The 24,650-nt window shown below is 41.9% G+C and overlaps 2 long non-coding RNA genes across 23 annotated transcripts in view, besides 1 other annotated feature; one reads left to right on the top strand and one right to left on the bottom strand.

Annotated features, from left to right (window-relative positions):
* LINC01643 (long intergenic non-protein coding RNA 1643) overlaps positions 1 to 24,650 on the bottom strand; it is a 201,365-nt gene that overhangs the window by 6,415 nt on the left and 170,300 nt on the right. For 18 of the 22 annotated variants that reach the window (NR_183602.1, NR_183600.1, NR_183601.1 and 15 more), the window contains one exon: positions 6,188 to 6,300. The exons of 1 other annotated variant lie outside the window; for it this stretch is intronic. This is a non-coding gene — a long non-coding RNA (long intergenic non-protein coding RNA 1643). Of the gene's footprint in view, positions 1 to 6,187; positions 6,301 to 6,823; positions 6,910 to 23,956; positions 24,198 to 24,650 lie in introns of all 22 variants that reach the window. 3 more of the 22 variants (NR_183604.1, NR_183595.1, NR_183596.1) reach the window with 2 other exon arrangements.
* Positions 1,824 to 4,718, top strand: LL22NC03-13G6.2 (uncharacterized). Its single transcript, XR_938187.4, has 3 exons — positions 1,824 to 2,152; positions 3,029 to 3,190; positions 3,794 to 4,718. It is a non-coding gene; the product is annotated as an uncharacterized LL22NC03-13G6.2 (long non-coding RNA).
* Positions 17,203 to 17,777: an enhancer, noted in NCBI's record as "NANOG hESC enhancer chr22:34590594-34591168 (GRCh37/hg19 assembly coordinates)". NCBI's record gives its function as "activates a minimal SCP1, AML or CMV promoter by ChIP-STARR-seq in primed H9 embryonic stem cells {active_cell/tissue: H9 hESC(primed)}" and the evidence as "EXISTENCE:reporter gene assay evidence [ECO:0000049][PMID:30033119]".

Here is a 24,650-nt window from a genome sequence, read left to right as displayed (position 1 = left end):
TGATTCATTTTTGCAACCTTAGTAGTAGCAAGCAAAGGCTTGGCATGGAATAGGAAATTTAGAAATATTTGTTGTGGAAATGGATGCTTGAGGGGAGGGTCTAATTGAATCTCTACTGGTCTTAGTGACTTACTTGACAAATAGAATTTGACAGAAATGACATTGGGGAAGTTCTGAAGCTAGGACATAAGAAATCTTATAGCTTCTGCTTGGGTTTCTTGGAAACCCTGAGCAGCTATGTAAGAAGTCAGACTGCTCTGTGGAGAGGCCCTGAGACTACATGGAAAAGGAGAGTGCCTGACTAAGTCAAACCTTCCAGCCATCCCCATCAAGGCACCAGGCACGTGAACAAGCCATCTTGTATCCTGCAGCCCAGACCAGCTACCATGTGAATACCATGAGTGACTCAAGTTGATGCAGTATGGAGTAGAAGAATCATCCAGCTGAGCCCTGTCTCAATCCCTGACCAATGAAGTCATGAGATATCGTAAAATGGTAGTTAGTCTAGGCTACTACATCTTGGGGTACTTATATAGAATCAGATTACTGGAACATTTGGAGATATAAGCACACCATTGAGGTAAGCTCCATTCATGTTTCTGAGTACCACTGTCTAAGGGCGTTCTTCAGGCAGTACTCAGAGTTGTCCTGCCCTGCCTTTGTCTTTCTCAGAGGACTTCTGGCTGCTGTTCACCTTTGAAATTTGGGCTTCAGGACCTACACTAATCCCTACTGCTTCCCAAAGGTTTTGTGGACTCTCCCCAGGCCATGGTCAGCACTTTCTCCTCTGCATAGCAATAGCATGTGTTTCCTGTACCATCCTTTGAAAATTCTGACATGACTGTTGCCTAAAATTGTGTTTAAATCTTACCTGGGCTTTTACATTTTTCTGTTCCTGTATTTGCAGGAGATTGGGCTGTATGACATCTGAGCTCTCTTCTAGCTCAGCAATTCCAGGATTACATCTAAGATATGTGAGCACTTACTCTAATCAGATCTGAACTTCTTCTTTTTGGAGATTTTTCAGGGATAAGGCCTGGGACAATCATCTTTTTAAGAGAGTCTTTCTCAGTCACCCAGGCTGGAGTGCAGTGGCATGATCTCAGCTCACTGCAACCTCTGCCTCCCGGGTTCAAGTGATTCTCATGCCCCAGCCTCCCAAGTAGCTGAGACTATAGGCATGCACCACCACCATGCATAGCTAAGTTTTGTATTTTTAGTAGAGACAGGGTTTTCTCATGTTGGCCAGGCTGGTCTCAAATTTCTGACCTCAACTGATCCACCCATCTTGGCCTCCCAAAGTGCTGGGATTACAGGTATAAGCCACTGCGCCTGGCCTGTTCTGCCTTTATATGGGATGAGCACGAAAGCGGCCTTGCAGAAAGAAATACACATCTCAGACTCTGGAACCAAGCAGACAAAGCCTAGGTATTTCAAGGTGCTCTGAGGATCACTAGGGATGATCACTTGGAGATCTCCAGCACCTGGAGACCTTGGGAAGTGGAGGTCGTGCATAGCCTCTCCTATCAGACGAGGGGCCCTCAGGCCCAGCTCGCAGGTTGCTAGGCAAACTGGAGAGAGCTCAGCAGGGTCACTGGGTCATTCTTGTCTGCACAGGGACGAGAAGGATACGCCTCCTTTCCCTCTCATGTCCACCAAACCTTGGTCTCTTCTATTTTGCCCTATAGTCTAAAACAATCCTAAACCCCCGCCTTTGTGTTGTCAGGCCCCATCCCCCACCAGCTTTGCCCAATGGAGAACAAACATGCTCTGTGCCTCATCCATGCTGTCAAGAATTTCTTTTTCTCACACTCTGCATCCTTGAGCAGTCCCTTCATGAAACCACAGCAGATGTTTCTCAGTCCTTTCATTTTCTTTTTTCAGAGGAATTGTAATCGGCTGCGCTTTAATTAGGATCTCCCCGAGGATACTTCGGCTTTCTTCCACACCCGGGAGTTTGCAGATTCCCTCTTAGTGCACCAGGCTGATTAGATTTCTTAATTCCCTAAAATATGCTGTCTCGAAGCCTAATACCCCTGTAGGGATGAGGTCTGTTTCTCTGCCTCTCCTCCCATTACAGTGCTAAATCCAGGCAGTGGTCTCCCTTACGGCACTTGCTTCTTCCCTGGCTCCGGACCCCTTTTTTGGATGGGTAAGTGGTCTCTTAAAAGCAACCTCTCTTTGCATGAACAGCCTCACGGAAGCTGAAAAGTGCCCTCTGCACAGATTTTTAAAGTCCTCTCCTGGGCACTAGGTTGGCACCAGTCTCCTGAGTTGGATCTAAATTGGGGTGGATACCTAGCATAAGCCTTGTTCAGGTTTAGTTGTAGCTTCTCATTTATTCACAGTGAATTATTGCATGAATTTTTATTGTGCTACTGACATGTGCCGTGGCGATATAATGGCTAACATCGTTCCTAATTTCATGGAAATGACAGAGATCAATAAGTGAAAAGATAATTGAATCCCATGTGATGCTGTGAAAAGTGCTTTGCACAAAGCACGACTCCTTGGCAGGTGTTTAAGTCTTTGAGGTACAGAGAAAGATTTATGGGAAAAGCAACGTCTAAATTGAGACTTGAATAGTAAGTAAGAGTTTTTGGAAGACTGAGAATGGGATGAGAAGGTATGGTAGAAGAGAGGAGAGCATTCTAGGCAAAGGGAGGACCCTAAGGTAAGAGACAGTGAGGCTTGTCCTGGGACCTGCAAAAAACTCTTTGTTGCTGGAGTGCAGTGCAATGAGCAGGGAACTAGGGCTAGAGGGAGCGGAATGAGGAGTGTTGAGAGATGAAGATGGAAAGGTAGGCAGGTGCCAGAGCATGCAGGAACTTGTGAGTCTTGTGAAGTCATTTGTGCTGCATCAGGTAGAGGTGGGTACCCTCCCTTATTTCTTTAATAGTGTGGAGATTAGCACCTGGCACATCCCAGGAATTGGGAAAGCCGCTGAGTACTCACACTGTAGTTAAGGCTGGTCCTGGCAGCAGATGCCACTGAAACCTAAAACATACACCATCTCTGCTCTTTGAAGCCTGCAAACCTTCTGACAAAGAAGCAGCCTTGAAAAGACAAAATGGATCCAGCAGGGAATTAGACAGAAAATATTTACAGACTCGGTGAACCAAGAGCTGGGTGTTCCGGGCTGTTGAAGAAAATGGAGTAATGGGATAGAAGCTGCTTTCAACTTCCTGCTGTAAGTATCACCACCACCACTTCCAAGCATGGTCCAATATCCACCCTAGGTGGATGCTATTGTTTTTTTGTTGTTGTTGTTGTTTGTTTTTGCTTTTTGTGTTTTGTGTTTTTTGAGATGGAGTCTCACCCTGTCGCCCAGGCTGGAGTGCAATGGCGCAATCTCGGCTCACTGAAACTTCCGCCTCCCGGATTCACATGATTCTCCTGCCTCAGCCTTCCGAGTAGCTGGGATTACAGGCACCCGCCACCACACCCAGCTAATTTTTGTATTTTTAGTGGAGATGGGGTTTCACCATGTTGGCCAGGCTGGTCTTGAACTCCTGACCTCATGATCTGCCCACCTCGGCCTCCCAAAGTGCTGGGATTACAGGCGTGAGCCAATGCACCCAGCCAGATGCTATTATTAATACGTGCCACAGATATATGGGTTGCCTTTTTTATTTTAGGAAGTTTTAAAAATCCACAGTTTGTCTCAAAATCTTTTTGGGCTAGAAACCAGAAGAATGGAAGAAGGAGGCAGAAAGGGCAGTTGTGTTTGTTATTTTTTGTGTGTCCATATTCAGGGTAAAGCAGAGGAATCAAGCTCTCCATTCCTTTCTAGGAGGACCCAAGGCCAGGAAAAAAGAAAATTTTTGGATATCAGAAATCAGAACAGGCCTGGAGTTGGGGAATAAATTAGGAAAGACACGGACTCAAGCAAAGGAAGACATCAGAAGTAGAGGTTGGCCAAAGGACAAAACTACAAAGCAGCAATTGCAGATTGAATCAAATCATCAGCTACTGGACATTACAACATTCACCATGGAGAGTAACAATAATATGCATTTATCAGAACTTCACTATGTGCCAGGCACAACATTTTATGGAAGATGAACAGGTAGATAGACAAACAGATATGAGTACATAGCTAGGTAAGTTGGTAGATAGGTAGCAGGATTCTCTGTCTCCCTATTCCTTCTGGTAAGAAGATAAAAGCTAATGACTTCAAAAGCATAACTGTGCATTCAATATTCATAGAAAGGGTCTGTGTGTGGTAGGAAAGAGACACAGGACAGGCATGCTTGTCAATTAAAAGATTACGGTAGTGTGGTAAACTAGCCTTATAAGCCTGGGTGAGGATTATTGGTGCAGTATTAACCCTCACAGGAATAGATACCCAGTTACGTTTTACTACTCCAGGCTGTTGAAGACAACTGGAATAAAAAGTCAAGGCAGTGGCCAGATGCAGTGGCTTAAGCCTGTTATCCCAGCACTTGGGGAGGCCGAGGTGGGCAGATCACCAGAGATCAGGAGTTTGAGACTAGCCTGGCCAACGTGGTGAAACCCCACCTCTACTAAGAATACAAAAAATTAGCCAGACATTGTGGTGAGTGCCTGTAGTCCCAGCTACTCAGGAGGCTGAGGCAGGAGAATCACTTGAACCTGGGAGGCAGAGGTTGCAGTGAGCCGAGATCGCACCATTGCACTCCAGCCTGGGCAACAGAGCGAGACTCTGTCTCAAAAAAAAAAAAAAAAAAAAAAAAAAATCAAGAAGGAACCCAAGGCAGATGGTTCTCAAGTCTTCCCCCTATGCCACTTCGCCTTTGCAGTTTTCCATCTCCTCCACCCAGCAACAGAAGCAGATGCAGGAATCCTGAGATACAAAAGGAGGCTGAAAACTCGATAATTGCTAGGGAATAATGATAGTCTAAGAAAGAAGGAGAGTAGGAGGGAAGGGGGCTTGGTGAGAAAGATGGGAGTCTGCTCCACATTCTTCCCTGGCTGGGAGATTGTCTGCAAGGGCACCTGGAGGCTGGCAGCTGGTACTATGAGCTGCTATTAAAGCCCTGTTATCCAGAATGATTAGAAACAGCTAGTTGAAAAGATGGTTAGAGAAATCTTTTAAAAATGAAATATACATACCCTAAAGCTTTTGTTTCAACCTAAAACATATGACTGCATATTTGTTTGCCTTTTACCATAGGGCCCACACCGTTCTTTGAGCCAGGGCCTGCAAATTGGATATCCCGATCTTCTTTTATGAACCTCCTTTACATTTCAATTCTAGTTTAAAATCTTTCAAAATGGGATGAGGATGTCAAGAAACACATGAAGCAATCTGAGTGAACAATCACTTCCCATTTTACCATTGTTTTCCAACTGCTTAGTATTACCTCACATACATCTGATGGCACAGCATTTTTAAATAACTTAGCTTTTTCAAGCTTCTCCAACTAATTTCACTTAGTTTCTTGGAGACACTGCTCTATTTCCTCGTACATGCACATTTTATCAACTTATATAATATCTAATTAGGTTAAAGTAACAAGAGTAGCAGGATATCAAATAGGACTTTCACTGTTAACCCAGAATTAGCTACTAAAACTCAAAGCAAATGGCAAAGTAGCCTCTAGTCACCCACATTCTAAAGGAAAATGAGAGTATTAGGAGGCCACACACACCCCCTTCAGGGTATCAAGGGGAGGCTAAAACCCCCAAACCTTCATTCTATATAAGTAGATGAATGACTGGAGGAAGAGATGGAATTCTAGGATATCAGCAGGACAATGACATGTGTGGGGGTCTATTTATTCCCTTCCTCCCCACAATGGGAGCAGAAGAGTCACTCCTCATTTCACAACATGAAAGGAAGACTCTTAGGCATCCCCAGTAGAGACTGGGGGTACGTGCAATGATGATAGTCTAGCACTTTGTTCTTTGGTTGGAGGATGGCTGGACATCATACTTTCTGATCTGCCCCTGCTCCATGCCTATTTGAGCAGAGGGAGAACAACATTTGGAGAAATACCAGGGCAACGAGGAGGAACCAGCAGGAAAAGGTGCACTCCCACAGTTGAGGATGATGAGCCTCTGTGGGTTTGTGGACACTAAAGACTGCAGCCAGGAGCTTGGGACCAGAGCTGGTTACTGGTGAGGGGTCATCCTTAGCAAAAGTCTACAAGCTGGAATATAGGCCATGAGCTGAGGGACGCCTATCTTGGACCTATGCATGTACCTCTGTAGCGAGTCCACATGGAAGTGCCTACCACACAAAGGGCATCTCTGGGAATCAGTGATGGACACTTGGCCTGTAGCATGATTCATTTTCCCCTTTTCCAGCTTGTACCCCTAGAGTTAAAAAGAACAGATGTTGTAATCATTGTGAAGAGGAAAGGAAGTACTTTTAGAAACTGTCTGTAAAACACATATAAATATATAGACACCTAACAGTAAAAATAATGATAGCAAATCTTTCTATGGCACCTAATAGGCACTATTCTAAACACTTAACCTATGTTAATTCATTTCTAAATATTGATGCTTATATTGATATTTAGGAATATATATAAGAACATACATAGACATATGTATGCCTTTTAGCCTGTAAAAATGAAACTTATTTATTCAAAAGTGGGCACACAAAGCACTGTTAGTTGCTTACTCAGCAGCCCCCTCCACCATTCCTTTTTTTCTAACAGAACTCAATTTTATTCTGGGTAGCCACATGCCCATCCCCAAGTGATGAATCATGATTGTTCTTCTCTTTGCCATATGACCCTGCTTTTTTGAAATAGGTGAAAAGTTTTCAGAAAAGTTTTGCTTTCCTGATTAAAGGGACGGATTGCTGGAGCTCTTCCTTCCTCCTTCTTACCCCTTGGACACAGATGTGGCATCTGGAGCTTCAGCAACCATTTTGCATTTATTAGGTAATAAGTATGAATAGGCAAAGCAAGCCTGCTAAGGATAGTAGAACAGAAAGATTAAAAGACACATAGTCTTTGACTGTATTACACAGCAGCTGAACCAACAACACACTTCTAAATGGGAGGGGCAGAAAGTGGGTATTGTTTAAACCTGGGTTACGTTTCATGTTATTCACAAATAAAACATTCATAATTAATAATATTCATCCCCAAATAGACATATACCTAAATTACAATATAAAATAGATTTAATAGATTTTAAAGCCCCTCTATTTTATTTAGTTGTATATTTAAGTGTATTATATCAGTGATCCAATGTAAGTGGACAGAACTGTGTCAATTGCGGTGGCCGGCACCTGTAAGTCCCAGCTACTTGGGAGGCTGAGGCAGGAGACTGGCGTGAACCCGGGAGGCGGACTCGTAGTGAGCCAAGATTGTACCACTGCACCCCAGCCTGGGCAACAGAGCGAGACCCCATCTCAAAAAAAAAAAAAAAAAGAAGGCCTTTTCAGAATAGTTGAAATGAATTCTTAAGAGTAATATATAAGTAGCACTCTAACCATGAACACTAACTAATATATAACTACTATATATATATATATATATATATATATATATATATGAAATCACAGGGCTTTACCACAACAAATAAAATTGTATCTCATTTCTCTAAGCACCTCTGTTCTAATTAGAAGAAGACAAGATTAAAAATGACACAGATTTAATTATTGTAGCTTTGTGAAACATTTTGAAATTAGGAAGTATAATGCCTCTAACTTAGTTTTTCTTTCTCAAGATTGTTTTGGCTATGCGGGGTCTTTTGTGACTCCCTTTGAACTTTAGAATTGTTTTTCCTATTTATGTAAAATATGCCATTGGCATTTCTATAAGTATTGCATTGAATCTGTAGATTGCTTTGGGTAGTATGGACACTGTAATAATATTAAGTCTTCCAATCCATTAACCCAGAATATCTTTCCATTCATTTGTGTCTTCTTTAAGTTCTTTCATCAATGTTCTATTGTTTTCCATGTACAAATCTTTCACTTCCTTAGTTAAGTTTATTCCTAAGTATTTTATTCTTTTTGATGCTATCATAAGTGGAATTATTTTCTTAATTTCCTTTTTAGGTAGTTTATTGTTAGTGTATAGAAATACAGCTGATTTTTTATGTTGATTCAGTGTCCTGCAATTTTACTGAATTTTTTTATTAGTTCTGTTTTGTTTATGTGTATGTGTGAAGTCTTTAGGGCTTTCTAATTATAAGATCATGTCATCTGTAAACAAAAAATTTTACTTCTCCCTTTCCAATTTAGATGCCTTCATTTCTATTTCTTGTCAAATTGCTCTGGCTAGGACTCCCAGTTCTATGTTGAATAGAAATGACTAGAGCGGGCATCCTTGCCTTCTTCCCTATCCTACAGGGAAAGTTTTCAGCTTTTCATCATTGAGTATGATGTTAGCCATGGGCTTTTCACATACGGCCTTCAAATTGGTGAGTTAAAATCCTTCTTAGTCCTAGTTTGTTGAGAGAATTTTTATCATGAAGCAGTGTTGAATTCAGCCAAATGATTTTTCTGTATCAATTAAGATGATCATATGATTTCTTTCCTTCATTCTATTAATGTGCTGTATCGTTGTATCACATTAATTAATTTTTGTATGTTAGACAATTCATACATTTCAAGGATAAACCCAACTTGGTTATGGTGTATGATCCTAAAACTACTCGGGAAGCTGAGGCGGGAGGATCACTTGAGCCTAGGAGGTAGAGACTGCAGTGAGTTGTAATTGCACCACTGCACTCCAGCCTGGGCAACAGAGCAAGACCTTGTCCAAAAGAGAGAGAGAAAAAAAAAGAAAACAGAAAAAGAGAGAGAGAGAGATGACCAATGGAACAGAATGGATAACCCAGGAATAAAGCCATGTGTATACGGTTAACTGATCTTTGACAAATGCGCTAAGAATACACAATGGGGAAAGAAAAGATAGTCTCTTCAACAAATGCTGTTGAAAAAACCCTGCTTTTTTCTTACTCCACACACAGGAGTCAACTTAAAATGAATTAAAGACTTAAAGATAAGACCTGAAAGTTCAAAACTCCTGCAAGAAAACATAGGGGAAAAGCTTTATGGCATTGGTCTTCGCAGTGATTTCTTAAATATGATACCAAAAGCACTGGCAACAAAAGCAAAAGTTAACAAGTTGTACTACATCAAACTAAAAAGCTTCTACACAGGAAAGCAAACAATTAATAGAGTGAAAGGCAACCTAAGGGATGGAAGAAAATATTTGCAATGCAAACCATATATCTGCTAAGAAGTTAATTTCCAAACTATGTAAGGAACTTCTATAAGTCAATAACAAAAGCAAACAAATAACCCAATTAAAAATGAGCAAAGAGGCTGGGCACAGTGGCTCATGCCTGTAATCTCAGCACTTTGGGAGGCCAAGGCGGGTGGATTACCTGAGGTCAGGAGTTTGAGACCAGCCTGGCCAACATGGCGAAACCCCATCTCTACTAAAAATACAAAAAATTAGCCAGGCATGGTTGCAGGCACCTCTAATCCCAGCTACTCAGGAGGCTGAGGCAGGAGAATCGCTTGAACCCAGGAAGTGGAGGCTGTAGTGAACTGAGATTGAGCCACTGCACACCAGCCTGGGTGACAGAGTGAGACTTCGTCTCAAAAACCAACCAACGAACAAAAAAAAGAACAAAGAACTTCAATAGACATTTGTCCAATGACATACAGATGACCAAGAGGTATATGAAAAGATGTTTATCATCACTAACCATCAAGGAAATACAAATCAAAACCATATAAGATATCAACTTACACTTGTTACAATGGCCGTTTTCAAAAAAACAAACAAACAAAAGGTAAAAGGTAGCAAGTGTTGGCAAAGACATGGAGAAATGAGACTTTTGTATATTGTTAGTGGGAATGCAAAATGTTTCAGCTGCTATGGAAAACAGCATGAAGGTTTCTCAAAAAGCTAAACATAGAATACCATATTCCAGCAATTCCATTTCTAGGTATTCATCCAAAAGAATTGAAATCAGGTTCTCAAAGAGATGTTTACACTCCCACATTCATTGCAGCATTATTTGCAAGAGCCAAGATGTGGAAACAACCTAAATGTTCATTGATGGATAAAAGATGGATAAAGAAAATGTAATAAATGTGTGTGTGTGTGTGTGTGTGTGTGTGTGTGGTTTATTTACATATACATATAATGGAATATTGTTCAGCCTTGAAAAAGAAGAAACCCTGCAATATTCATCAATGTGGATGAACCTGGAAGACATTATGCTAAGTGAAATAAGCCAGTCACAGAAGAGCAAATATTGCATTTTTCCACTTATATGAAATATCCAAAATAGTCAAATTTATAGTACCATAAAGTAGAATTTTGGTTTCCAGAGTCTAGAAGAAAAAGGAAATAGGTAATTGCTATTCAACAGATTCAGTTTCAGTTTTGCAAGATGACTATGTTCCAGAGATCTGCTGTACAACATCATGCCTGTAGGTAATGATATGATCTTGTCCATTTAAAAATTTGTTAAAAGGCTAGATTTCATGTTAAATGTCCTTACCACAATAATAAAAAGAGTGAAACAGAAGAGGTGTGCATAGTAGCTGGGTTTCCTTAAAGCAAAAGAGAGAGAAAGGGAAAGATTTAGAATTGAAAAAGAATACGTGATTTAAAAAAATAAAAAGATTCCTTCAATACTAGTTAGGAATAAATAGTAAGAGAAGTCAAACTACATGTTGGTCTTCATTAACTTTTGCTACCTCAGCCTTCAGATCAAGCCGTACAGGGTGGCTGATGTTAATTCACATTGTGCTTTTTCAAGCACCCTGTGTGTCTGTCTCCATTTTGGTGAAGATTTGCATCCAGCCCCAGGCTGGAAGGTACTCTCAGTAAATATTAACCGCTTGGCCCTAATGCACCTGAATGGACCATTCTTGACACAAATTAATGTGCTCTGAGGAAGGATTCATAGAACCTTCAAATTTTGAAAAGTAGAAGCCAGAAAAGTGTCTTGATCAAATCTCTTTTGATTGCAAATAATACAGCCCAACTCAAGCCAGCATTTAAAAAGGGGTCGAGGAGTGGCTGTTTGTGGTTCATTCAAAGGAAAAGATTTGTATTTAGTTTTAAGTAAGGCTAGATCCAGTTAGTCAGACAATGTTGACAGGATCAGTTTCTATGCCTTAACTCTGGTCTTTATTGCATTTGCTTAATTATCAGCCATGTCCTCACCACACTGGTAGAAGCAGCAGGGCCAGAGTGCAGAAGCTCCTGGAAGCTCCATGCTTACATGATCCAAGCTTCTAGGCAAATAGAAAGAGAAATTCTCTGTTCCAGAAGTCATACAGAAGTTCTATAACTGTATCTCACTGATTTTCAGATTGGGTTACAGGCCCATCCTGAACCAATCGTGGTAAAAGAGAGATCATGTTATCAGTGACTGAGCTGGGAGTAGGTACCTTTCCCTGGGGCTAGGGGTTATATCAGCTACCTATGACACAATGACTGAGTAGGCTGGGAGTGCTTTCCTAAAATATTGGACACTGTAATAAAGAGAAGGGGAATGGGTCCATCGTAGGAAAACTCAGATGTCTTATACAGATAAAGAAAGTTATTGAATCACCATTAACTGAGTGTGTACTATGTGGCTGAGGAAGCTATGAGCATTGAGTCTTTTAATCTACACCACACTTGCAGAGGTTGATGTAATTATCCCTATTTTACAATAGAAGAAACTGAGATGTGGAATATTTAGAAAACGTTTTCCAGCATCACGAAACTAGTAAGTCAAGTTGCAGAGACTCTAACACAACATACACATTTCATCCTAATGTGTCCACTCTCTGGTGTTTTGCCTTCCATTGCCCCATATATAAACCCACCAATGAGTCAAGCAAGTTCCCGTTCAGTCTGAGGTGGGACAAGCCTAGTGCTTATCTTCTGTTCTGCTTGGGGTCAGCAGGTTATTTCAAAGGCGAGTTGAGAATGAACAGTACCTTGAAGTGGGAACAGAGTTAGTAAATTGAGAAGAAAAGATACAAACAATATTGTGAATATTGAATATTCTAAATCTGTAAAAAATGTACCAAAAGAAAAAAGACTGGAATCATAAATCCAAAAAGGATGAGAATAAGGGCTTCAGGGAGTTAAGATTTGAGGAATTATTTTCTTCTTTAGATTTTCCTGATCTTTCCAAACATTCTACCATGAGAGTGATTTATTTTTAATCAGAGAAAAATCTATTTAAAACAATCTTGCAAGTATAGGGTGAAGAAAGGTAAAATAACCTCTATGATATTTGAATCGGGTTGATAAGCTGGAGAAAGCTGTAAAGATCTTGTCAGGTTTCTGTGAATAAATTTTTTTTAAAAAGGAAGCATTGGAGTTAATAGCAAATTCTCTGCATGAACAGAAGTTAATATTTTCATGCCCTCCAGCACTCAGGGACCAGCAGCACACAGTGCATGTATATATATTAACAACCTGGACATGGGTACAAATAGCAAGGTTGAAAAACTCGCTGACTCAGGTTGGTGGAGATGAAGCAAGGACAAACTTGGAGAATTCTTCCTGGAAGATTTTGAACTTCTAGGATTGTAGGCAGAAGAAAAGGTGAGCAGTGGATCCAGGGGAAAGAAAGGAAATAGGTTCTTCCTCTGGGGTGCAGGGCCCTGAACAATTCTTAGTGGGGAAGGGATCCTAGTTATCACCTACATTAGTCTGTGTTCTCTAGAAAAGCAGGATAGATAGATAGATAGATAGATAGATAGATAGATAGATAGATAGATAATAAATAGATGATAGATGGATGGATGGATAGATAGACAGACAGATAGATATTCTGTCTCTCAAAAACATCAAACTCAAATTGAGATATATTCTATAAACAACTGCCCTGTAAGAGAGGGAGAGGGAGAGACAGAGAGAAAGAGAGAGAGAGATTTAGGTATGGTCTGAGACAGATTTAGGTAAAGTCTGAGAGCTGGAGAGCTTGCAGATTTAGGTATAGATTCCAGTCCAAGTCCGAAGGTCTGAGAACCAGGAGGAGCACCAAGGGTAGATCAATGTTCTAGCCAAGCAGTCAGGCAGAAAGAGAAAGAGAGAGACTCCTGCCTTTCATCCTCCTTTTGGTTCTATTCATCCTTTTTCATTCTTTATTTTCTATTCAGGCCCTCAGTGGATTGGATAATACCCACCCACACTGGGGAGAGCCATTCCCTTTACTCAGTCTAACGATTTGAATGCTAATTTCTTCTGGAAACAGCCTCACGGACACACTCATAAATAGCATGTAACCAGATACCTGAGCATCCCATGATGCAATCAAGTTGAAACACACAATCAGTTATCATTCTCCCTGAAACCCCTTTACCCTGTGAAATCGAAGAATATAATCTTCATCACAATCAGAGCCCCTTGGATTTCCATTACACATCACAGTTTGCAAGCCACTTTCTCATTTGCTATCTCATCTGATTCCTGCCATCTCTTCATTGGGCTAGAATAGCAAGAGGAGCAAATCTCTTAAAAGTTTGGTTGTGACTGTCTCACATCAGAAGATAAAGAAAACAGAAAGCTTCAAGCTATGTTTTATGTTCATGTTCTGAACTGAAAGTAGTGTTTTAAGAAAGTCAAAGTGGTCTTGGAATTTCTAGCAATGGCTAAACTAAGTGTGTGCCTTTGTGCTATTGGTGCTTGTTGTACTAAGAAAAAAAAATGAAGTTGAGTCATTAAGAAAGAAGTCTCCCTCCACTAATGAATAAACCGGTGATCATATGCTGCCCAACAGACAAACTGGGAAGGACACAGCATCATTTTTGTGGTATTCCTGCTGAAAAAAAATCATAACCTCATGAATCTAGTCATCAGGCAAACTCAAATTGAAATGTACTCTATTATAAGCAACTGGCCTATATATACTCTTCAATAATAATTCATGAATGATAAACTGTGAATAACTGTTTCAGATTAAAAGACACTAAAAAGATAGCAACAATTTAATGTGCCACATGATTCTAGGTGGAATTCTAGACCAGAAATTGCTTTGGCTATAAAGTACATTATTAGGATAATTGGTGAAATTTGAATAAGATCTGTAGGTTAGATAAGTATCATTAAATCAATGTTAACTTTCTGATTTTGGTCATTGTACTCGATTATGTAAGATAATGTCTTTCTTTTAAGGAAATACTTAAGTATTTGGGGTAAAGAGACCTCACGCCTGTAACTTGATCTCAAATAATTCAGAAATAAATACATAGATAGATAGATACATACTTACAGAGTAACGGATATGGAATGGCAAAGCTAATGGGTAAAGAGACAAAGAGACAAAGCTAACGGGTACAGATACATAGATATAGATATAGATATAGATATAGATATAGATATAGATACAGATATAGATACAGATATAGATATATAGATATAGAATGATAAAGAATATTCATAATTGGGGAACTGTGAATACAAATGGTAGAAGAATTATTTATACTATTTTCTTGCAATTTTATGTAAGTTTTAAAGTATTTCTTTTTAAGTTTAAAAAGAAGGGAAAACAAAACAAACAAGCCCTCATTTCTGTGAGGGCAAATTTGGGATGGATGGGAGGTAAAAAGCAAGTCGCCTTCTCTTTCTGATTAAAGACGCAGGAAGAAGACAGGTGGTTGAATGTGGTCACATGCAGCACTGATGAGGTGTACATTCTGCTTGTTTGCTTGACTTGACTCTGTTCTTTTCCCCTCACAAAAACCACTGTCTGAGAGCACTCACTATAGTCACATGAGCCTCCAGTCACACCTGCTCCTGGAGAGACACCCTCTAGCCCATGAGACTATCATACCCCAGAACCAAGGATTGGAGAAGAGGAGGAATGAGCTACATATGATTCTCTAATAAACGGACATCAGTCTTAAGAGTATGAATGTTAAAAGCACTTATTTCAACTTGTCCGTGCGGATGGGTTGCTAAGGATGGTAACAAGCTGCTTTTGTAACTGAAACAATGGAACTTGCCAGTGAGCTGGCTGTGATGTCTAACACTTGAGCTATAGCAAAATGGCCCGACAGAGCCTGAATGATCCTGTCTTCAGCCTAAACAAAATGGATAGACCACAGAAACCCTGCCTCTGATAAGAGGCCAGTGTGGTGCGCAGACTAGGACAACATCTGAGGAAACTGGCACACAGAGACTTGTTGAATGACTTGTGAAACTTGTTCAGATGGGTGTAGTGGCTCATGCCTGTAATCCCAGCACTTTGGGAGGCCGAGGCGGGTGGATCACCTGAGGTCAGAAGTTCAAGACCACCCTGGCCAACATGGTGAAACCCCATCTTTACTAAAAAACACACAAAAATTAGCTGGGTGTGATGGTGGGTGCCTGTAATCCCAGCTACTCAGGAGGCTGAGGCAGGAGAACTGCTTGAACCCGAGAGGCAGAGGTTGCAGTGAGCTGAGATCACGCCATTGCACTCCAGCCTGGGTGACAAGAGCAAAACTCCGTCTAAAAAAAAATGAAAGGGAATAGAACGAGCTGCAATGTAATACACTGCGATACAACATGATGTGATGGAATTATACAACAGGACAGACACTGTCAAGCAGATAATAGAACATAGGTGACAACTCCTAACATTCATGGCATGAAACAACCTTGACCTGGATGGTGTTCTGCATACTCAAAACTGTAAGTGATTTAGTTCCATGTTCTTCTTCCATATTTTCTTCTCAGCTGAGAAGAGAAATTTATAATATAAATATTTGAGTTTCCAGTCAGAAAGATCTAGATTTTTCTATCCTGGCTTTACCCTTTGCCAGCTTGAAAACTTTGGGAAATTCATTCATGTCTTTAAATTCCAAACCCCTCAATGGGGAAAATATGCTTGGGTCACAGAGCTTTAAAGAGAAAATCTGAGACATATAGTAAACATCAAAGTGCCCAGAAGACACGTTGGCACACAGAGGTACAAAATACTTTTTATTCTGACTGTCCATCTTTACTTTCTCAGCATTTGTCTACAGCACACATTGTGTCCCAGAGGGACTAGAGAGTTGGGCCCTCTGGAAGGCCCTCATTTCACCTTTAATCACTAGGTAACTGACCACATGTGGCTTGAGTCTGGGATCATGAATGGATGGGGCTCCTTCTGGAACGTTATCCTCTTACACACCAAGTGAACATTTTGGAAATATTTTTATCCAAATGGATGACAAAAACAGTAGTGAATATAATGGAAAATATCCTGATATGAACCCCTTCCTTTCTTAACTAGGCCACAAAAATGAGGCACCCTTATTCATAATGGGAAGTGATGCTTTGTTGCATTTGACAATTTTTGATTTTATATTTATTCTTTTTTTATAGTGTCTGTCTCCCCTTTAGACTGTAGTCACCATGAGGCAGGAATGATACCTCATTCATCAATTCCATAGTGCCTACCACAGTGTTGCCAGTGCATGGTAAATGCTAAATAAATGTGTGAATAAATGAATGAATGAATATAATTTTCTAGGTTTGGAGGGGCTTCTTAGAAGTCACTTGGAGCACTCTGTGTCTATTGTCTGGATTATACCCATAGAAATTCCACCTGTCCCTTCAATTCTAAAATATTATCCATGAAAAATTTCTAATCTTGCCCAACCTTAGTTCCCTAGGACTAATCATGGAAGGATTTGCCTCCAACCTCCTAGGGTGCAGCCAAGTTGGAAGACATTCTCTGTGTCCCGATTCTCAAAAGAGGAAGATGAGGCTCCATTGGATTGGACCAGGAATTATGTGCTGGGGTGAGGCTGTCATCTCCAGCCTTTTACCTGTGCAATAAAGTGACCAAGTAGGAGAGGAACTTGGAAGCCAGAGAAGACCTGAACAGGAAGAGTGAGATGTCAAAATCCACCTGGAGAAGAGAGTAACATGAGTTCCTACATCCTGACTAAGATAGCTCCAGGGAGGTGAAATTGTGGGTTCTAGAGTCAGATAGACTGGGTCTGAATCCCAGATCCACCAAGTAAGTGCTCTGGGACCTCAGAAACACTCCATAAATCACGTGTGCCTCAGTTTCCTTCTCCTTCAAATGGAACAGGACAATATAGTACACAGGATTACCATAAATGAAGTAATATGGTAAATAAATTCAAACAGAACCAGATTCATAATAAGCATTCAATCTTTGCTCTTTTTATGGCTATCCAGGGTAAAGAACAAGCCTGTGTCAACAAGAGACTGAATAAGAAACCCTCAAGGAGGAGACGTGGGAGTTGCCTTCATTCATTGGATAGAGTGCCGCAGGACAGGATGCTCTGAGAGGCCAGCACCACACCCTCTTGACCATGCTGTAGCCATAAATGTTCCAGAGGCATCTGAGAAAACCACTGCAGAATACACAGAGCACAGCTGCATTTTGTCTGCTCCACCTACAACAGGGTTTGCTCTACCCTGCCATATCAGAGGCTCCTGAAAAGACCAACTCACAGCACCACAGGATGTGATTAAGCCTTGGAGAAGATTAATTACCCACTTTCTTAGGAGTCGGTCTCTCCTCCCCACTCACTCAAGTTCCTTTACCCCCCACTAAGCCTCTGAAAGAATCTAACATCATAAACAAGGATCTCATTAGCAACTTGAATTCGGGCTGCAGATCTTTTGTGAAGATTTGGTTACAGATGCTGCTTTAACTTCTGAGGATTATTCTTCAGCATCCAGAGAGACTCCAGTTGCTCCCCTGGGAAATGTTCCCTCACTTGAATAACTCATCTGTTCACCCATTGGCATAACTGCTGCCAGTTCTAAGCACCTGCTGAGGAGTGGACCCAGATTAGGCCTCTGGCAGGGCTACAAAGAAGGCATTTCAGTGTTGGACTTCCCATTCCATTTGCATCTTCAGGGGAAGTTAATGTCCCACTCAAGTTTCTCTCAGTTAGGGTGACAGGGAGATGCAGTTCTTCAAATGCTGTCCTCAAGTAGAGAGGGAGACCACAGAGCTCCGACTGGCTTGCCAGCCCATGGAGCCATTTTTTCTTTGGTGGTGGATGCTCTCGGTGTGGCCTCTAGAGCTCCTTTCATGATCCTTTTCTCTCTGCATTCCCACTGCTCTCCCCTCGGGTGGGTCCACATCACCTCTCGCCTGGACCTCAGTCTGTCTCTTCTCTGCTAACCAGGGTGTCTTCACTTCTCTGCAGCTTTCACACGGCAGCCAGATTAATGTTCCTCAGTGCAGCTTTGATCACACCACTGTGCCCAAACAAAATCTTTCATGGCCCCCAGCTACCCAGTGATCAAAGTCCAGGGTCCTCACTCCAGCATTAAAGAGCCTCTGTATTGTGGATCCCAAATCATCACATGCCCCACCTCCATCACCCATCTGTTCCACTCCCACCTACCTCAACCTCAGTTCTAGTCCTTCAAGCTGCAGGCAGCAGCTCATTGAGAAGGTCATGAAATCAATGAAGTATGTGACGAAAGCATTTTAAAATGAAATTTATAGCAAAAGAACAAATATGTATATGGCTTTCTATATAGCAGGCTCCATTCCAAATACTTTGCATAGACTCACATACTTCTCACACTGTCCCTAGGGAAATAAGCACTCTTGCTATCCCTGTTTTACAGATAAGGACACAGACCCAGGGAGGTTAAATAAGTTGTCCAAAGTGATTAATTCTGGCTTGAACCCAGAGAGCCTTGTATCAGAAGCCACACTCTGCTATACTCCCCATGATGTACTATATGGAATAAAACTATATTCTAGATTTTGTAAAACCATATGGAACAGAATAGAAAATTTAGGGCATTCTGTATATACAATGGTAAATGTTCCATGAAGGTCTGTTGGAGATAAATATAAATGTATACACACAAGACTACAGTAGAAAATGTGTATTGTGCTGAGTACACAAGGTCAAGTGTTTGTCTTACTGTGGCTTGTGGGCAAAAACATGTGAAACCTGTTGTTCTGGCTAAAACCAAGGAACTGCCAATGATCTCTCATGCTTCTTTGCCTCTACATCTTCACCCACACTGATCCCAGCACTGGAAACATCTTTCCCCGTCGTTTCTCACCTGTATCTCTGGTCCAAACATGTCTTGTCCATGGAGTCTTTCTTAATTCTTCTCTTTATTCTGTCTTCTAAATTATAAGCTTCTTGAGGGCTTAGGTACATACATTTCACAATCAGTTCTTGCTTCCTGACAAAGAAGGAAGCATCTTCCAGGAGGCTTTTACTCCCAACCTACTTTCAACCCCCATTGGTGTGATGAGATTTCTGATATTCGTCTTCTTTCTGTGATAGTTTGGGACAATGGTTCTCAAAGTGTGGTCCCCAGACCAGCAACATCAGCATCGCCTGGGACTTGTTAGAGATGCGTATTCTCAGGCCCCATCCCAGACCTACTGAATCGGATTATCTGAGGGTGAACAACAGCAGCGTGTGCTACAACCAGCCTTCCAAGTGATTCTGATGCTTGTGCAAGTTCGAGAACCACTGGCTTAAGAAAAAGCCATTCTTATTCAATATGAGAGAAGGGTTTGTTTCATGACTCTGGGCCAGTTGGCTGCATTGTATTGCTTATGAGGACAAGGTCAGGGGATCAACTTTGTGTATCCAAGTCAGCAACATGTCACACCACACATTGAATCCCCCAACCCTAGCTTTTGTGCAATTGCAAGCTATTTAGTCCCAAAAGAACTATGGATGTCTCAGTGCCAAAGCTAACTCACCTAAATTACTACTGTCATCGCATTAATGGAGCCAGACTCACAGCCACGAGCCATCAAGCACCCTGCAGGGGACAGTAAAAGCAGAACCAGGAATGGACAAAGACATTGTTAGAAGTCAAGAGAACATGGACTTTCTAAATACCAAAGCATTTTAGAAGGTATGGCTAAAACAGATTGCAAATGATGAAAGGCAGTAAAAATCCAAGTGGGTTTAGGATGGGAAATTTCAAATTTCATAGGAAATCCAAGGTCACAGAAATAATAAACCAGAATGACCTAGGAGCTAGCACTTGATAGATTCAGGAGCATTTCCATGGACAGACATTTTATATTTGAAGAAACTCGAATCTATATTCCAAGAAGTTAAGAAACAAGATCATGCAATGAGGAAATAGCAGAATAGAATGCAAACCAACTTTTTTTACCCAGGAGTCTCAACTAAAGGTCTGCCTGCCCTGCCGAGGGCACTCCCCTCTCTGCGGTTTCTCTTCTACACTCCTGCCACACTGGCCCCAGTGCTGCCATGTCCACTCCCAGGGCTCTGCACTTACTCTTCCTTCTCTTTTAAGTATTTTTTCGCTAGCTGTTCCCAGAGCTGCACCCTCCTCATCCTTTAGGCCTCAACCCAAATGTTACTTACTCAGAGAGTTCTTCCCTGACCACCCAGCCCACACTTCTGTGACTGTACAAGTTTCCTGGGGCTGCTGAAACAAATGACTGCAAAGTTGGTGACTTAAACCACCACAACATAAGTTGGCTGGTTGTGGTGGCTCACGCCTGTAATCCCAGCACTTTGGGAGGCCCAGGCGGGCGGATCATGAGGTCAGGAGATTGAGACCATCCTGGCCAACGTGATGAAACCTCATCTCAACTAAAATACAAAAAAATTAGCCGGGTATGGTGGTGTGTGCCTATAGTCCCAGCTGCTCAGGAGGCTGAGGCAGGAGAATTGCTTGAACCCAGGAGGCAGAGATTGAAGTGAGCCAAGATCACACCACTGCATTCCAGCCTGGACAACAGAACGAGACTCCATCACAAAAACAAAACAAAACAAAACAAAACAAAAACATAAGTTTTTTCACTTACAGTTCTGGAGGCCAAAAATCCAAACTCAAGGTGTCGGCAGGGCCATGTGTCTCTGAAGGCACTAGGAGAAAACCTGCCCCATGCTCCTCTCCTAGTTTCTGGAGAGGAGCCACTCATGACATTTCTTGACTTGCGGCTGCATGACTTCCAGTGGCACCGTCCTCTCTGTGTCTGTGTTAAATATCCTTCATAAGAACACCATTCATCGGATTAGGGCACACCTTAACACCATATGGCCTCATCTTAACTTCATTACATCTGCAAAGACCTTATTTCCAAGTAAATCCACATTCATATGCATTGGGCATTAGAACTTTGACACATCCTTTTTGGGGGAGGTGGGGAACAACTCAACCCACACACAGCCACAGACATTTCCTACAATACCCTATTCTATCGTCTCCATACTGCTTCTCAGTATGTGACATTATCCTATTTATTTATAAGTGTATGTGCTCATTGCCTGCCCAACCCTTCCCCAACTAGAATAAAAGCTTCTTATAGCCGTGCACCTCTCTGTCTTGTTCACAGATGAATCTCCAGCACGTAGAAGGGGGGCCTGGAACAAAGCACTGTTTTACAAAGATTTACTAACTGCCTGAACTGTCTCTCCCACTGGGGTCTTTCATTACATGGTCCCACCTCACCAACCACAGGGATGAATACGTGACCTAAGCTGACTTATCAGAACCATTGTGAGGACAGACCCTGTGAGAGAGGGAACCATGATGTCTCCTCTGAAGTCATTGCTGTGAGGATGATGTCATAGTGTTGCCAGATAAAATACAGAATGTCCAATACTCTTTTAGCATAAATAAAGATCCCATGCGATATTTAGGACAGTGCAAATACTACTTGGGACCTCCTTCTTCTGAAAAAAGGTATTTGTTGTTTATCTGAAATTCAACTCAACAGAGCCTCCTTTACTTTTATTTGCTAAATCTGGAAACTCTATGGTGTCAGTCTCAAACTGCCAGAACCTTGTTGTCCACACAAGGAAGGAACAAAACCTCCCTGAGAATGAAGCCTTTGTAGAGGGAAGCAGAGTCAAGAGATAAAGACTAATTCCTGGTCATATTTCCTAAGCCCCTGCATCCAGCCATGCCTAAATGCTTCCTTTACCTCTGAGGCTTCTCAGTAATCTGTGTCAGTAAATCCCTCATCCATCTTATATTTTTCTCTCCTAAGCTATTTGAAACTAAGTTTTTGCTACTTGCAAATGAAGTTCTGGTGAATGTAAATCACCTTCCAATCAGTGCCAATTCTTGCCTTCATGATCTCCTAAAATCCATAATCCCTTAGTTTCCCTCCTAGTTTTTCCACTACTTTCCCCAATGATGCCCATTCCACTCTTAGTTAAGAGTAGTCTGATGTAGTCCTTTGTGTTCAGGCCAGAAAGGTCCATCTCAGCTGTCTCCCTCCAATCTGTATCATCAAGTCCATGAAGATGCAGAGGAGAGCCCCAACAAGACACAAACCCTCTCTCTTACTGATGCTGACCACCCTATAAAGCATAAATGCAATGTCTTATTATGCTAAGAGGTCCCCTTTTGATCAGGTGTGAAGAATAAAAGCAAGAAAAAAAGGGGAGAAAAAGGCAGGAAACCCTATCCTACTCTAGCCAAAATGTTTCTCCTGAGCCTCCAAAGAAACGGGGCCCATTGCAAGGTCTGGGTGCTGTGGGTTTCTTGAGCAGCAGAATCCCAACCTTTCATCCTCTTCTCCAGCTTTACTGCAGAGTCTTAAGAGCAGACCCAGTTGGTCATACAAAAGTGACAGCAAACGAGAAGGTCCACAGAGGTGAGACAGCACCCCAGATGGTATTGCCTGCAGATGACTTGTGCAGTGTTCCTGCTGTCACACATATCCCTTTGGTCCTACATAATAAATCTCCTCTTGTTGATGGGACAGACAGCTAGGATTGCTACTTTTACTTTTGGCAGATCCTGATTTGCTAAAGATTGGCCCCTCCATTCCAAGCAGAAAAGAAGGAACAGGCCAAGTACCAGGGTGCCAATCCCTTAGCATCTAGGCAGGAGAAAAGAGAGAAAACTCATATCCTTGCCAAGAGATCTGTCAAATGGCCATAGGCAGGGACATGAACCTCCATCCAAATTAAACACTCAGCCTTCTGAGCCCGGTAGTTGCCAAGCATACACTTTGTAAATCAAGACAGCATGTATTCATCCAGCAAATATTTATCAAGATCAGGCAATATGCAAACACTGTGCTAGGCACTTGGGAAAAAAATAATGAGAAAATGTAAACGTGGTTTGCTGTGGTTTGAGGGCTTATGGCCCCTCAAACATTTATGTTGAAACTTTTTTTTTTTTTGAGATGGAGTTTCGCTCTTGTTGCCCAGGACTGAGTGCAATGATGCCATCTCAGCTCATTGCAACCTCCGCCTCCTGGGTTCAAGCGATTCTCCTACCTCAGCTTCCCGAGTAGCTGGGATTACAGGCACGCACCACCACACCCAGCTAATTTTTGTATTTTTAGTAAAGACAGGGTTTCACTATGTTGGCCAGATGGTCTCAGTCTCTTGACCTTGTGATCCACCCTCCTCTGCCTCCCAAAGTGCTGGGATTACAAGTGTGAGCCACCGCACCTGGCCTATGTTGAAACTTAATTCCCAGTATGAAAGTATTAAGAGGTGAGGCTTTTAAGAAGTGAATAGGTCATGAGCACATCACAGTCATGGATTGATTAGTCACCTTATGAAAAGGCTGGAGACAGCTAGCTAGACCCCTTTTGCCCTCCTGCTCTTCTGCCATGGAAGGACATGATGTTCATCCTCTTCAGAGGACACAGCCACAGGAGTTACCTTGGGAGCAGAGAACAGCCTCTCTCCAGGCACCAAACCTGATGGCACCTTGACCTTAGATTTCCCAGCCACCAGTACTGAGAGAAATGAGTTTCTATCATTCATAAACTATCCAGTCTCCAGTATTTTGTTACTGCAACAGGAATGGAATAGACACTGTCCCTCAACCTAGCAACTTCTCTAGTTGGAAAACTAGGCATCAGCCACATAAATGCTTAAGTAAATGAAGATGTTACTGTGGTAACAGAGAGAAACAGAAAATATGAGAAAAATTACAAAGATTCAACGGACTTCATTCAATGTTCAACAAATATCTGTTGCACCTCTGCTGGGTGCCAGACATTGGTGTGGGTGCTGGGGTGACAACCTCACTTTATTCAACAAAAGTTTGGATTGAATTATTAACTGGAATTATTTACCCACCTGATGTAGAAGCTCATTTCACTCTCAGCTTGTGCAATGAATGTTCCTCCCATCAGGTTGCTGGCTTTCTGGTTATCTTCAGCCCAGAATGTATGCCTGCAATACCTATTAGTCTAAGCTCACAGAAATCAAGGGTCTGCAATCAGTCACTAGGCTCTTGGGAAAGCAGGGCACAGGCAAATGAGAACTTGAATCAGAATGGAGCAGGCCGTTATTTTGTTTTTGGACTCCATCTGTGACACTGGTAGAATTTAGAGAATTACAGAGTAGAATTGATGTAGTATCCAACTGGTTAGCATTCAGGAGCTCTACACTTTGCTGATGATTCATGAGGTGGGAAGTTGGGGTTTTAACTGTTTCATATTAGCATTTGCATCTTAAAAAATATTCCGGGCCGGGCGCGGTGGCTCACGCCTGTAATCCCAGCACTTTGGGAGGCCGAGACGGGCGGATCACGATGTCAGGAGATCGAGACCATCCTGGCTAACACGGTGAAACCCCGTCTCTACTAAAAATACAAAAAAATTAGCCGGGCATGGTGGCGCGCGCCTGTAGTCCCAGCTACACGGGAGGCTGAGGCAGGAGAATGGCGTGAACCCGGGAGGCGGAGCTTGCAGTGAGTCGAGATCGCGCCAGAGCCAAACTCCATCTCAAAAAAAAAAAAAAAAAAAAAAAAAAAATTCCTAGATTCTAC

Source organism: Homo sapiens, chromosome 22 (genome assembly GCF_000001405.40).
Source record: "Homo sapiens chromosome 22, GRCh38.p14 Primary Assembly".
In the NCBI taxonomy this organism is placed as follows: Eukaryota; Metazoa; Chordata; class Mammalia; order Primates; family Hominidae; genus Homo; species Homo sapiens.
This window is presented reverse-complemented; position numbering and strand designations above follow the sequence as displayed.